The sequence below is a fragment of the Homo sapiens genome, chromosome 1, assembly GCF_000001405.40.
Source record: "Homo sapiens chromosome 1, GRCh38.p14 Primary Assembly".
Taxonomy (NCBI): domain Eukaryota; kingdom Metazoa; phylum Chordata; class Mammalia; order Primates; family Hominidae; genus Homo; species Homo sapiens.
In genome coordinates, this window is record NC_000001.11 from 35,049,109 (window position 1) to 35,063,741 (window position 14,633).

A 14,633-nucleotide genomic window follows, 5' to 3' on the forward strand; every position below is an offset into this window, starting at 1 on the left:
TATGTTTAACCATTTGAGAAACTGCCATACTGTTTTCCAAAGTGGATGCACCCATTTGACATTCCCTCTAGCAGTGTATGAGAGTTCCATTTTCTCCTTGCCCTCAAAAACATTTGTTGTTATCTCTGTTTTTTATTATAGCTATCTTGGCACAAAGAGGTATCTCTCTCTCTCTCTGTGGTTTTGATTTGCATTTCTTTGTGACTAATGACGTTGAGCATCTTTTCTTTTCTTTTTTTTTTTGAGGCGGAGTCTTGCTCTGTCACCCAGGCTGGAGTGCAGTGGCGGGACCTCGGCTCGCTGCAAGCTCCGCCTCCCGGGTTTCACGCTATTCTCCTGCCTCAGCCTTCCGAGTAGCTGGGACTACAGGCGCCCACCACAACGCCCGGCTAATTTTTTTGTGTTTTTAGTAGAGACGGGGTTTCACCATGTTGCCCAGGATGGTCTCGATCTCCTGATCTCTTGATCCGCCCGCCTCGGCCTCCCAAAGTGCTGGGATTACAGGCGTGAGCCACTGCGCCTGGCCGATGTTGAGCATCTTTTCATGTGCTTATTGGCCAACTGTGTATGTTCTTTGAGGAAATGTCTATTTAGATTCTTTGTCCATTTTTATTGGTTTATTTGTCCTTTTATTATTGAGATGTAAGACTTCTTCTTTTTTTTTTTTTTTTTTTTTTGAGATGGAGTCTCACTCTGTCACCCAGGCTGGAGTGCAATAATGCCATCTCGGCTCACTGCAACCTCCGCCTCCTGGGTTCAAGCCATTCTCTTGCCTCAGCCTCCCAAGTAGCTGGGATTACAGGGACATGCCACCATGCCTGGCTAATTTTTGTATATTTCGTGGAGACGGGTTTCATCATGTTGACCAGGCTGGTCACAAACTCATGACCTCAAGTGATCCTCCCACCTTGGCCTCCCAAAGTGCTGAGATTACAGGCGTGAGCCACCGCGCCCAGCGGAGATGTAAGAGTTCTTTGTATATTCTATATACAAGTCCCATATCAGATATAGAATTTGCAAAACTTTTATCCCATTCTTTGGGTTGTCTTTTCGCTTTCTTAATGGTGTCCTTTATTAAAGCACAAAAGTTGGCTGGGCAATCCCCTGACCTCTGCCTCCCAAAGTGCTAGGATTACAAGTGTGAGCCACTGCAACCAGCCTATTCTATTAAATTTCTAATATTAACTACTGTATTTTTAATTTCCAAGAGCTCTTTCTTACTCCCTAATTCTGGTTTTGTTTTTTTTTTTTTTTTCATAGAATTGCTTCTTGTTTTATCCATATGAAAAGTATAGTAACTCTTCAGGTATATTAACTAATGTTGGTGAGCTTTTTAAGTAATTTTCTTTTTTTTTTTTTTTTTTTGAGACGGAGTCTCACTCTGTCCTCTGTCTCCCAGGCTGGAGTGCAGTGGCACGATCTTGGCTCACTGCAACCTCTGCTCCCGGATTCACACCATTCTCCTGTCTCAGCCTCCCGAGTAGCTGGGACAGCTGGTGCCTGCCACCACGCCTGGCTGATTTTTTTTGTATTTTTAGTAGAGACGGGGTTTCACTGTGTTAGCCAGGATGGTCTCGATCTCCTGACCTTGTGATCCGCCTGCCTCAGCCTCCCAAAGTGCTAGGATTACAGACATGAGCCACTGCGCCTGGCTTAAGTAATTTTCTTAAATAATTTTCTGTTTCTTGTATTGTCCTTACTTACTCCAGGTTTCTTTTTCCTGCTTCTTATTAATAATTGTAGTCTCTCTTTCACCTTTAAAGTTTCCTTAAATGTCTATGATCCCTGCTGCTTTACTCATTTTTTAGTAAAGCACATGGAGAAGTGGGCTCCACTGGCTTTTTCATTGAGGGATCACCAAATGGCCCATCTAAAGATCTTTACTCTAGAGTCATTCGGTTTCTCCAAAGAAAAATCCTTCAAGTTCTTGCCTTATGACCACGGATCTGAGAACAACATGGAGGAAGAGGGCTGCAAGCCCTATCACTCTGTAGACTTCCACTCTTTTCATTCCCTATTCCCCCCATTTTCATTGTCTCTACTCTCCATCGTGCCAGATATCCCCAAACATGAAGTCTCTCTGGTTGTTTCTCCAAAATGAAAGAGTCTGGTCTAGGTTGTTGTCTGGCTGTAATGGATGCTGGAGAGATTACTAGGGGATCTAGCTGATCCACATTTAGAGTTTCTACCAATTCCTATGTTTTCATCCCGATGTCACCACTCACCCTCTGAGACGCCAAATGCCTCTGCACCTTGAGCCTTTCTGGAGTTCTGTGGAATGGATTGACTTCCTTCTAAGGTACCTACCTCTGCAGGTACATAGTAGTTTTCACCTTCTGTAAGTTTTCGGTCTTCAAAAATGTGTTGAACTCTTTCATTCTTTGGTATCTCCTTTCCCATTCTTCTTGCCCTTCTGTAGCTTTAAAAAAAAATTCCTTTAATGTCATTTTACTCAGGTTTCAGGAGGAAGACATTTTGTTTTTGTTTTGTTTTTTTCTTAGATGGAGTCTCGCTCTGTCGTCCAGGCTGGAGTGGCGTAATCTCAGCTCACTGCAGCCTCCATTTCCTGAGTTCAAGTGATTCTTTTGCCTCAGCCTCCCTAGTAGCTGGGACTACAGACGCGTGCCACCATGCCTGGCTACTTTTTGTATTTTTAGTAGAGACTGGGTTTCATCATGTTGGCCAGGCTGGTCTGGAACTCCTGACCTCAGGTGATCCACTTGCCCTTGGCCTCCCAAAGTGCTGGGATTACAGCCGCGAGCCACCTCACCCAGCCAGGAAGACATTTTAAATCAGAATTTAGTTCTTGTCAATTCTACTATCAAATACTTATCACTATTTTTATTTTACTTTTTGTTTTTCTTTTGTTTTTTTGTTTGTTTGTTTGTTTGTTTTGAAACAAAGTCCCACTCTGTCATTCAAGCTGGAGTGCAGTGGTGCTATCACAGCTCACTGCATCCTCAACATTCCTGGCTCAAATGATCCTCCCACCTCAGCCTCCCAAATATCTGGGACCACAGGCGTGTGCCACCATATCCAGCTGATTTTTATTTTTTGTAGGGTCTCACTGTGCTACCTAGGCTGGTCTTGAACTCCTGGGCTCAAACAGTCCTCCTGCTTCAGTCACCTAAAGTGCTGGGATTACAGATGTGAACCATCACACCCAGCCTATTTTACTTTCTGAAGGGAGCCAAAGAATCTGTGTAGAAGACATCATCTCCTGCCATTCTGCCAAACCAGAAAATAGGCCTGTCACTACTGAGAGCTGGGGATCCCAGGAGGAATGTTGACCCTATGCCTGATGAAACTCAAGGTTCCAGGCAATTTGTGAGTCCTGTATACTATTTCTACTATTCCTATACACTCCCAGGATGCTTCCCATGGAGGGGCAGGAAGGGCTCTGGGGAGGGCTGAAGAGGGCCCAGACCCTCCTAACACCCTGTTTTAGTGGATGATGGGAGGCTTTCTTTCCAGGGCTTCTCCATTTCCTCTTGGAAAGAAAGATTCTGTGGCGCTAGCGAGGTGTATCTGCCTTCCTGCCTACCTGCCTACTGGTTTTCCTTCTGGCCTAAAAGGTTCTGTCTGTGCCACTCTTCCTAAGTCCCTCTCCATTTCTAGGATATTGGTCTGGGCCTCAGAGCCCCCTCCCTCCCTCAGCTATATCAGCCGTGCTGGCTTAGGGGTGATTAAGAATTTAATTATTTTGTTTCTTCATCTTAGAAGATTAATCCTATCCATCACAGGCAGGCCATGCCTTCTCCTCTTGTTCCTTTCTCAGGGCTACCTAGCCAATTCCAAGAGGAAGAAACTCCATGGCTCTCTAGGTCTAGAAACAATGGATGAAGTTTTAGTTAGGGTGAGGGGGTGTGTATCAATGTAGACAAGTGAGTGTTTGTTTAGTGTTGAGTATAGGTTTTAACATGTTTGCCTGTGAAGACATTCAAGCCTTTTGGTTTTCTGCTCAGAGGAGGCCAAGGTGCAACTTGCTTTTTTTTTTTTTTTTTTTTTTTTTTGAGATGGAGTCTCACTCTATTGCCCAGGCTGGAGTGCAGTGGCACAATCTTGGCTCACTGCAACCTCCGCTTCCTGAGTTCAAGCGATTCTCCTCCCTCTACCTCCTGAGTAGATGGGCTTACAGGTGTGTGCCACCACGCCTGGCTAATTTTTTGTATTTTTAGTAGAGACAGGGCTTCACCATGTTAGTGAGGCTGGTCTTGAACTCCTGACCTTCTGATCCACCCACCTCAGCCTCCTAAAGTGATGAGATTACAGGCATGAGCCACCATGCCTGGCCTAAGGTGCAACTTTCTTCCGTCATCTCACATCTGGGTACATCTGACACCAGCCACCTCCACCGTACTGCCTAAGTTCAACCCCAACAAGATTAATGTTGCAAACCTTAGGTGTACCGATGGGGAAGTCAGTGCCATTTCTGCCCCGGCTCCTAAGATCAAGCCCCTGAGTCCATCTCCAAAAATGGCTGGCAATGACATCACCAAGTTAATGGGTGACTAGAAGGGTTTCAGGATTACAGTGACATTGACCCTTCAGAATAGACAGACTCAGGTTGAACTGGGACCTTTTGCCTCTGTCCTGATGTTACAGTAGGTAGCTAGCCTGGTATGAGCAGAGCAAGAAAGGGCTCACACACACACCAGGAGTGCCAGGCAACCATCAGGTGATGGTCAGGCAGCTGTTAACTGTTTCTCTAAATAATTGGTCACAGCCAGCGCCGGGGAAAGGCAGTCTCCTAATAGATAGAAAACGCCTGAAAATTGATCATCAGCTTCCCAATAAGATCTCAGGGGTGGGGAGAAGTAAGGCACGATCCCAGAAGTATGCCAATGTATAAAACCCCAAGTCAAGAAGTCAAGCTGCACACTTGATTTCTCAAGTCGCCCGTTTGCCCTATTCCAAGTTGTACTTTCCTTCTTTTCTTTCCTTTTGTTAGATGTGAGTTCTAAATTTCTTTTCAAAGAATTAATATGTCAGTATGTTCAATTCTTTGCCTTCTACTTTTTTTCTTTTTATTTGTTTATTTATTTTACTTTAAGTTCTAGGGCACATGTGCACAACGTGCAGGTTTGTTACGTATGTATACATGTGCCATGTTGATGTGCTGCACCCGTTAACTCATCATTTACATTAGGTATATCTCCTAATGCTATCCCTCTCCCCTCCCCCCATCCCCCAGCAGGCCCCAGTGTGTGATGTTCCCCACCTTGTGTCCATGTATTCTTATTGTTCAATTCCCACCTATGAGTGAGAACATGCAGTGTTTGGTTTTCTGTCCTTGAGATAGTTTGCTCAGAATGATGGTTTCCAGCTTCATCCATGTCCCTATAAAGGACATGAACTCATCCTTTTTTATGGCTGTGTAGTATTCCATGGTGTATATGTGACACGTTTTCTTAATCCAGTCTATTATTGATGGACATTTGGGTTGGTTCCAAGTCTGCTATTGCGAATAGTGCCACAATAAACATACGTGTGCATGTGTCTTTATAGCAGCATGATTTATAATCCTTTGGGTATATGCCCAGTAATGGGATGGCTGGGTCAAATGGTATTTCTAGTTCTAGATCCTTGAGGAATCGCCACACTGTCTTCCACAATGGTTGAACTAGTTTACAGTCCCACCAACAGTGTAAAAGCATTCCTATTTCTCCACATCCTCTCCAGCACCTGTTGTTTCCTGACTTTTTAATGATCGCCATTCTAACTGGTGTGAGATGGTATCTCGTTGTGGTTTTGATTTGCATTTCTCTGATGCCCAGTGATGATAAGCATTTTTTCATGTGTCTGTTGGCTGCATAAATGTCTTCTTTTGAGAAGTGTCTGTTCATATCCTTCCCCCACTTTTTGATGGGGTTGATTTTTTCTTGTAAATTTGTTTAAGTTCTTTGTAGATTCTGGAGATTAGCCCTTTGTCAGATGGGTAGATTGTAAAAATTTTCTCCCATTCTGTAGGTTGCCTGTTCACTCTGACGGTAGTTTCTTTTGCTGTGCAGAAGCTCTTTAGTTTAATTAGATCCCATTTGTCAATTTTGGCTTTTGTTGCCATTGCTTTTGGTGTTTTAGTCATGAAGTCCTTGCCCATGCCTATGGCCTGAGTGATATTGCCTAGGTTTTCTTCTAGGGTTTTTATGGCTTTAGTCTAACATTTAAGTCTTTAATCCATCTTGAATTGATTTTTGTATAAGGTGTAAGGAAGGGATCCAGTTTCAGCTTTCTACATATGGCTAGCCAGTTTTCCCAGCACCATTTATTAAATAGGGAATACTTTCCCCATTGCTTGTTTTTCTCAGGTTTGTCAAAGATCAGGTGGTTGTAGATGTGTGGTATTATTTCCGAGGGCTCTATTCTGTTCCATTGGTCTATATCTCTGTTTTGGTACCGGTACCATGCTGTTTTGGTTACTGTAGCCTTGTAGTTTATTTTGAAGTCAGGTAGCGTGATGTCTCCAGCCTTGTTCTTTTGGCTTAGGATTGACTTGGCCATGTGGGCTCTTTTTTGGTTCCATATGAACTTTAAAGTAGTTTTTTCCAATTCTGTGAAGAAAGTCATTGGTAGCTTGATGGGGACGGCATTGAATCTATAAATTACCTTAAGCAGTATGGCCATTTTCATGATATTGATTCTTCCTATCCATGAGCATGGAATGTTCTTCCATTTGTTTGTGTCCTCTTTTATTTCGCTGAGCAGTGGTTTGTAGTTCTCCTTAAAGAGGTCCTTCACATCCATTGTAAGTTGGATTCCTAGGTATTTTATTCTCTTTGAAGCAATTGTGAATGGGAGTTCATTCATGATTTGGCTCTCTGTTTGTCTGTTATTGGTGTATAGGAATGCTTGTGATTTTTGCACATTGATTTTGTATCCTGAGACTGCTGAAGTTGCTTATCAGCTTAAGGAGATTTTGGGCTGAGACGATGGGGTTTTCTAAATATACAATCATGTCATCTGCAAACAGGGACAATTTGACTTCCTCTTTTCCTAATTGAATACCCTTTATTTCTTTCTCCTGCCTGATTGCCCTGGCCAGAACTTCCAACACTATGTTGAATAGGAGTGGTGAGAGAGGGCATCCCTGTCTTGTGCCAGTTTTCAAAGGGAATGCTTCCAATTTTTGCCCATTCAGTATGATATTGGCTGTGGGTTTGTCATAAATAGCTCTTATTATTTTGAGATACATCCCATCGATACCTAGTTTATTGAGAGTTTTTAGCATGAAGGGCTGTTGAATTTTGTCAAAGGCCTTTTCTGCACCTATTGAGATAATCATGCGGTTTTTGTCTTTGGTTCTGTTTATATGATGGATTACGTTTATTGATTTGTGTATGTTGAACCAGCCTTGCATCCCAGGGATGAAGCCAACTTGATTGTGGTGGATTAGCTTTATGATGTGCTGCTGGATACGGTTTGCCAGTATATTATTGAGGATTTTTGCATCAATGTTCATCAGGGATATTGGTCTAAAATTATCTTTTTTTGTTGTGTCTCTGCCAGGCTTTGGTATCAGGATGATGTTGGCCTCATAAAATGAATTAGGGAGGATTCCCTCTTTTTCTATTGATTGGAATAGTTTCAGAAGGAATGGAACCAGCTCCTCTTTGTACCTCTGGTAGAATTCAGCTGTGAATCCGTCTGGTCCTAGACTTTTTTTGGTTGGTAGGCTATTAATTATTGCCTCAATTTCAGAGCCTGTTATTGGTCTATTCAGGGATTCAACTTCTTCCTGGTTTAGTCTTGGGAGGCTGTATGTGTCCAGGAATTTATCCATTTATTCTAGATTTTCTAGTTTATTTGCATAGAGGTGTTTATAGTATTCTCTGATGGTAATTTGTATTTCTGTGGGATCAGTGGTGATATCCCCTTTATCATTTTTTATTGTGTCTATTTGATTCTTCTCTCTTTTCTTCTTTATTAGTCTTGCTAGCAGTCTATCAATTTGTTGATCTTTTCAAAAAACCAGCTCCTGGATTCATTGATTTTTTGAAGGGTTTTTTGTGTCTCTATCGCCTTCATTTCTGCTCTGATCTTTGTTATTTCTTGCCTTCTGCTAGCTTTTGAATGTGTTTGCTCTTGCTTCTCTAGTTCTTTTCATTGTGATGTTAGGGTGTCAATTTTAGATCTTTCCTGCTTTCTCTTGTGGGCATTTAGTGCTATAAATTTCCCTCTACACACTGCTTTAAATGTGTCCCAGAGATTCTGGTATGTTGTGTCTTTGTTCTCATTCGTTTCAAAGAACATCTTTATTTCTGCCTTCATTTCATTACATACCCAGTAGTCATTCAGGAGCAGGTTGTTCAGTTTCCATGTAGTTGAGCAGTTTTGAGTGAGTTTCTTAATCCTGAGTTCTAGTTTGATTGCCCTGTGGTCTGAGAGACAGTTTGTTATAATTTCTGTCCTTTTACATTTGCTGAGGAGTGCTTTACTTCCAACTTTGTGGTCAGTTTTGGAATAAGTGCAATGTGGTGCTGAGAAGAATGTATATTCTGTTGATTTGGGGTGGAGAGTTCTGTAGATGCCTATTAGGTCCACTTGGTGCAGAGCTGAGTTCAATTCCTGGATATCCTTCTTAACTTTCTGTCTCATTGATCTGTCTAATGTTGACAGTGGGGTGTTAAAGTCTCCCATTATTATTGTGTGGGAGTCTAAGTCTCTTTGTAAGGACTTGCTTTATGAATCTGGGTGCTCCTGTATTGGGTGCATATATATTTAGGATAGTTGATCTTTTCAAAAAACCAGCTCCTGGATTCATTGATTTTTTGAAGGGTTTTTTGTGTCTCTATCTCCTTCATTTCTGCTCTGATCTTAGTTATTTCTTGCCTTCTGCTAGGTTTTGAATGTGTTTGCTCTTGTGTCTGTAGTTCTCTTAATTGTGATGTTAGGGTGTCAATTTTAGATCTCTCCTGCTTTCTCTTGTGGGCATTTAGTGCTATAAATTTCCCTCTACACACTGCTTTAAATGTGACCCTCCGAGCCATGTGCAGGATATAATCTCCTGGTGTGCCATTTGCTAAGGCCGTTGGAAAAGTGCAGTATCAGGGTGGGAGTGTCCCGATTTTCCAGGTGACGTCTTTCATGGCTTCCCTTTGTTAGGAAAGGGAATTCCCCGACCCCTTGTGCTTCCCGGGTGAGTCGATGCCCTGCCCTGCTCCGTGGGCTGCACCTACTTGTCTGGCAAGCCCCACTGAGATGAACCCGGTACCTCAGTTAGAAATGCAGAAATCACCCATCTTCTGCGTCGTTCACTCTGGGAGCCACAGACTGGAGCTGTTCCTATTTGGCCATTTTGGTGCCACCCCCCTGCCTTCTACTTTTAAACTTAACTTCCTTGTAAAGCAACCTTTTCCGATTACCTGCTCCACCCTGACTCATTCCAATCACCTGCTCCACCGTGCATTCCAATCACCTGCTCCACCCGCACTGATTACCTGCTACCTGCTCTGCCCTGACTCCTACCAAAGCACTCACCCTGTCATTCTCTTTAAATTAGCCAATCGGAATTAGTTTAGCCTGTGCAGTCTAACCCTAGCCAATAGGGGAACAACACAGCAGCAGGGGCCACATGTGTCAGGGATAAGAACCCCTTCCGCTCCCTTGTCCAGGTGTGCGCTCACCATTGTTCCATCTGTAAGGGCACACCCTTGACTTGCTGAGAATTAAAAAGAAATTTTTATATTCGAGTGCTATTTCTTTTGCAGCACCAAAACTTTATAACACTTTTCTTCCTTTCCTTGCTGTTCCAAAGCTTTTTAAGAAAGTTTCACTCCTGCTCTGAAACCTTGTCTCGGTCTCTCCTTCTGCCTTATGCCCCTCAGTTGAATTCTTTCTTCTGAGGAGGCAAGGACTGAAGTTGCTGCAGACCTGTACGGATTTGCTGCTGGCATAACTCGGATACCTGCCACCAGTAACACTGATCCTTTAAGCCCTCAAGGAACCTCCAAGAGATAGAAACAAAAATATTAAACACAGTGGAAATGTCACTTTTGATGAGATAATCAACATTGCCCAACAGGTGTGGCACCAGTCTTTGGCCAGAACCATTAAAGAGATCTTGGGGATTGCCCAGGCTGTGGGCTGCAATGTTGATTGTCACCCGCCCTCATGACATCATAGATGACATCAACAATGGTGCAGCAGAATGTTCCACTAGTTAAAATGCACAAAAAAGATGTTCAATAAAAGATAATTTGACAGCCCAAAAAAATTTATTGCAACATGTATATACAGGCAGGTGATTATGTAAGTTTTATGTGACTTTTTTTTTTTTTTTTTTTTTTTAGAGACTTAAAGACTTTAGAGACTTTAGAGTCCTACTATGTTGCCCAGGCTGGTCTTGAACTCCTGGCCTCAAGCAATCCTCACACCTTGGCCTCCCAAAGTACCGGAATTATAAGCATGAGCCACTATACCCAGCCAGTTTTTTTGTTATTTAAATTGTTGTGAATATGTATTTGCATGCAAGGGATAGAAGGAGTAGAGGCTGATTAGCCTGTGACATTATCCTGAGTGTCCTCCCAGCAACCTTAACCTTGACAAAACAGATACATAATCTTCTGAGTCTTTGCATCTCTGGGACTAGTCTTGTATTCAGACTAGTGTATTCAGAGTTGCAATGCACCTTGGTGGTTACATGATCTCAGGTTTGTGTCGTACTTGAATCCCCACGGCAGCATTCTTATAGGAGTCTCCAGCCTCTCTTTGCAGTTTTCAAGACAGGAAGTTGACTTCTTCCTTGCAGCTCCTTCCACAGTGAACAACTTGGCTGTCAGAGAGGTTCTGATTACAAAACCCAGTCCAGCCACAAAAAGGTATTTCGTTTCTCTCTCTTGCCCTCACCCTTACTTATATAATTCATCTCTAGGGTGCCACCTTTCCTTTTCTAGATCACTGAGTCTCAAGTCATTGAGTATCATTGAGCCAGAGCCAGTGCTGAGCACTAGATACATATAGATGGATGAAATAAATGTTGGCCTTTAAAGTTTACACCCTAGTAGAGAGACAAACATGGGGGAAATACTATTTGTTGTTATTATTATTATTATTATTATTATTATTATTATTATTATTTTGAGACAGAGTTTCGCTCTTGTTGCCCAGGCTAGAATGCAATAGCGCAATCTCGGCTCACTGCAACCTCTGTCTCCCCAGTTCTCCTGCCTCAGCCTCCCAAGTAGCTGGGATTATAGGCATGCACCACCATGCCCAGCTAATTTTCTATTTTTAGTAGAGACGGGGTTTCTCCATGTTGGTCAGGCTGGTCTCGAACTCCCGACCTCTGGTGATCGACCCCCCTCGGCCTCCCAAAGTGCTGGGATTACAGGCGTGAGCCACCGCGCCCGGCTGGAAAAAATCTATTAACAAGAATAGAGGAGGGATTGATTAACTTGGCCTAGGGGAAAGAGAGGTGGCTTCCAGGAGGAATTCCTGGAGGAAGGAAGACCTCTGAACTAAGTCAGAGGGCAAAGGCAGGCAGAGGTAGCTCTCAGTCTGTGCTGCCTCCTTCGCCCCTCCTCTCCTGCTGTGTCCTCAGCTCCCACATTTCTTTTCTCCTGCTAAGTCCAGAAATCTACAAAGGAGGGCAGGGGCTTGGACATCCCTGAGGCTGGAGCAAGATCAGGCAGAGTTTCAGGCAGAGCTGAGGTGGCACCACATTAACCCAGAAGTCAGCCAACCAGCCAGCCTTTGTGGGACCTCCTAGGGCCCAGCCCTATGCCTGACTGTCCTATGAGAGAGGCCCAGAAGGAGACTGGCCCTGGTGCTTGAAACTCCTGTCCTAGCTCACACAGAGAGCTCACAGGACAGTATGCTAACCCAGGAGGCAGTCCCAAGCTCTGGGCCCACCTGGAACAGGGTAGGAAAGGCCATGAGCCTGGCTAGGCTGAACAGCTCCTCCCCAATGGACACCTGCCATGGCCTTGAGCCCCTAACTACTGTTCTCTGGCAGTCCTGCCAGGCCTAAGTCTGTCAGCACCCCCAAAAGCCAGGACACACCTTGGATTCTATGGTCACATCAGCCTAGTCTAACACTAGTCATGGATTCTTAGACTACAGAAGGCTCTGGGACACTAGAAAGGAAGAAAGGAAGCAAGTGAGTTCCTCCTGTACCAGGCACCACGCTGGGTGCTTCACACAGATTAATCTTTTAATCCTCACCATAACTCAACTTCAGCATGTTCATAAAGAAGGACACATACTACTAAACTGTTAATAACATTTAAATGTGATGGGGAGAATATTAGGGGATTTTGTTTCAATGTTTAACCCAATCATGTATCATCAGAAATGAAGTATTTCTAGCAGCCAAAACATTATCTGTCAATCAAGATAGATAGATATAGATAGATAGATACATAGATAGATAGAAATATAGACATCTTGGCTGGGTGCGGTGGCTCACGCCTGTAATCCTAGCACTTTGGAAGGCCGAGGCAGGCAGATCACAAGGTCAGGAGATCAAGACCATCCTGGCTAACATGGTGAAACCCCGTCTCTAGTAAAAAAACAAAAAATTAGCCGGGCATGGTGGCAGGCGCCTGTAGTCCCAGCTACTTGGGAGGCTGAGGCAGGAGAATGGCGTGAACCCAGGAGGCAGAGCTTGCAGTGAGCCGAGATCACACCACTGCACTCCAGCCTGGGTGACAGAGCAAGACTCCGTGTCAAAAAAAGAAAAAAAGAAATATAGACATCTTATTTCCCTTTTATTTTTATTTATTTATTTATTTATTTATTTGAGATGGAGTCTCACTCTGTCACCCAGGCTGGAGTGCAGTGGCATGATCTCAGCTCACTGCAACCTCCACCTCCCAGGTTCAAGTGATCCTCCTGCCTTAGCCTCCCAAGTAGCTGGGACTACAAGCACGCGTCACCATGCCTGGCTAATTTTTTTGTATTTTTAATAGAGATGGGGTTTCACCATGTTGGCCAAGCTGGCCTCGAACTCTTGACCTCGTGATCTGCCCATCTCGGCCTCCCAAAGTGCTGGGATTACAGGCGTGAGCCACTGCGCCCAGCCTTATTTCCCATTTTTTTTATGTAAAGCGTCAATTATTCGCATTCTAGTCCTGACTCCTGTCCACCCTCTCATTCTTACCCAGTTGAGGTAGTGACTTCTCTAAATGGAAACTTTGGAAGAAGAAACTCATTGTGTGCAGTCCAGCCTCTTCCTCTTTTCTTTCTACTTAGAAGCAAGTTGTCAACAGAGAACACTAGTTATTCTTTGCTCTTTTCTGCCTTAAATCTCACAGGAGCAGACCTGTCATGTAAGGAGGTTCTACCCTCCAACCTAGCTTTTTCCAGTAATGAAGGTGATACTATCTTTTATTTGCCATTTCTATTGACTCTTATTTCTCAATTGGTTTAGAAGTGAGTGGGGAAGAGCAGTGTTAATTATTGGGCTCCCTTTGAATTCCCAGTAGTACAGTAGAAAGTACACTGAAGTAGGAGATACCAGGCACAGGTTTGTAATCCTAAATCTGCCACTTAACCAGTTGTGCCCTTGGGCAAATCACTTGCCATTTAAAGCCTTAAATTCTTATCTAATAAATACATCTAAATTATTGGTTATAGCAACAGAAACCGGGTCTGGTTACTTTAAGCCAAAAAGGGGAAATGTGTAATAAGGATACTGATGGCTTACAAAACGATGAGAAGCTAAGATAAAAGGTTTAGACAATAGGCAGAACCAGGGACCTCCCAAGATCTGTCAGTAAGAACAGCTTGATCCACATCACTGCTAATGCTAAAATAAACCTTATGCCAAACATTCTGTCTTTTAATCTGGGTAAGAACAAATGCTAAAATAACCTTCCAAATCACAGAGGTTTTACACAACGGAAGTTTATTTCTGTCTCACACCACAGTCCAGCATGGGTGCTTCTGGTCTAGTGGCTTTCTTGGCAGCTCTCCTCCAGGCAGTGACTCAGGGACCCAGACTCCTTCCGTCTTCTCTTGGAGAGGAAAAGAGAGGGCAAAGATCAAATGTGGGAGGTTTTAATAGGTCAAGCCTTTTCTTTTTTTTTTTTTTTTAAGAGACAGGGCCTCACTTTATCACCCAGGTTGGAGTGCAGTGGTGCCATCATAACTCACTGCAGCCTCAGATTCCTGGGCTCCAGTGGTTCTTCAGCCTCAGTCTCTAGAGTAGCTGGGACTACAGGAATGTGCCACCACATTCAGCTAAGTTTTGTTGTGTTTCCTTTTGTTTTGTTTTAAGAGACAGGGTCTTGCTCTGTCACCCAGGCTAGAGTGCAGTGGCATGATCCTGGCTCACCACAGCCTCAGACTCCTGGGTTCAAGCAATCCTCCCACTTTAGCCTCCCGAGTATCTGGGACCACAAGCACAAACCAATGGCGAATTTTTAAATTTTTTTTAGAGATGGGGTCTCACCATGTTGCCCAGGCTGGTTCTAGAACTCCTGGCCTCAAGCAGTCCTTCCACCACAGCCTCCTAAGTAACTGGGATTACAGGCACAAGCCACTGAACCTAGCTTCTATCTAAATTCTATCGTCCGGAACCCAAGACATAAGGCCGCAGCTAACAACAACAACAAAAAAATGTAGTCCATCTGTATGCCCAAAAAGATAAGGAAATAGGGTTTGCTGAACATTTGACGATCTCTATCACAATA

General features: G+C 43.6%; 1 protein-coding gene and 1 pseudogene across 1 annotated transcript in view; both read left to right on the top strand.

Moving 5' to 3' along the window:
* On the top strand, positions 4,363-10,160 carry RPL12P45 (ribosomal protein L12 pseudogene 45; annotated as a pseudogene).
* The window catches only part of ZMYM1 (zinc finger MYM-type containing 1), a 59,033-nt gene continuing 55,077 nt past the window's right edge, over positions 10,678-14,633 (top strand). The window contains exon 1 of the mRNA NM_001289088.2: positions 10,678-10,817. The gene's annotated coding sequence lies outside the window, so the exon portion shown is untranslated. The remainder of the gene's footprint in view (positions 10,818-14,633) is intronic.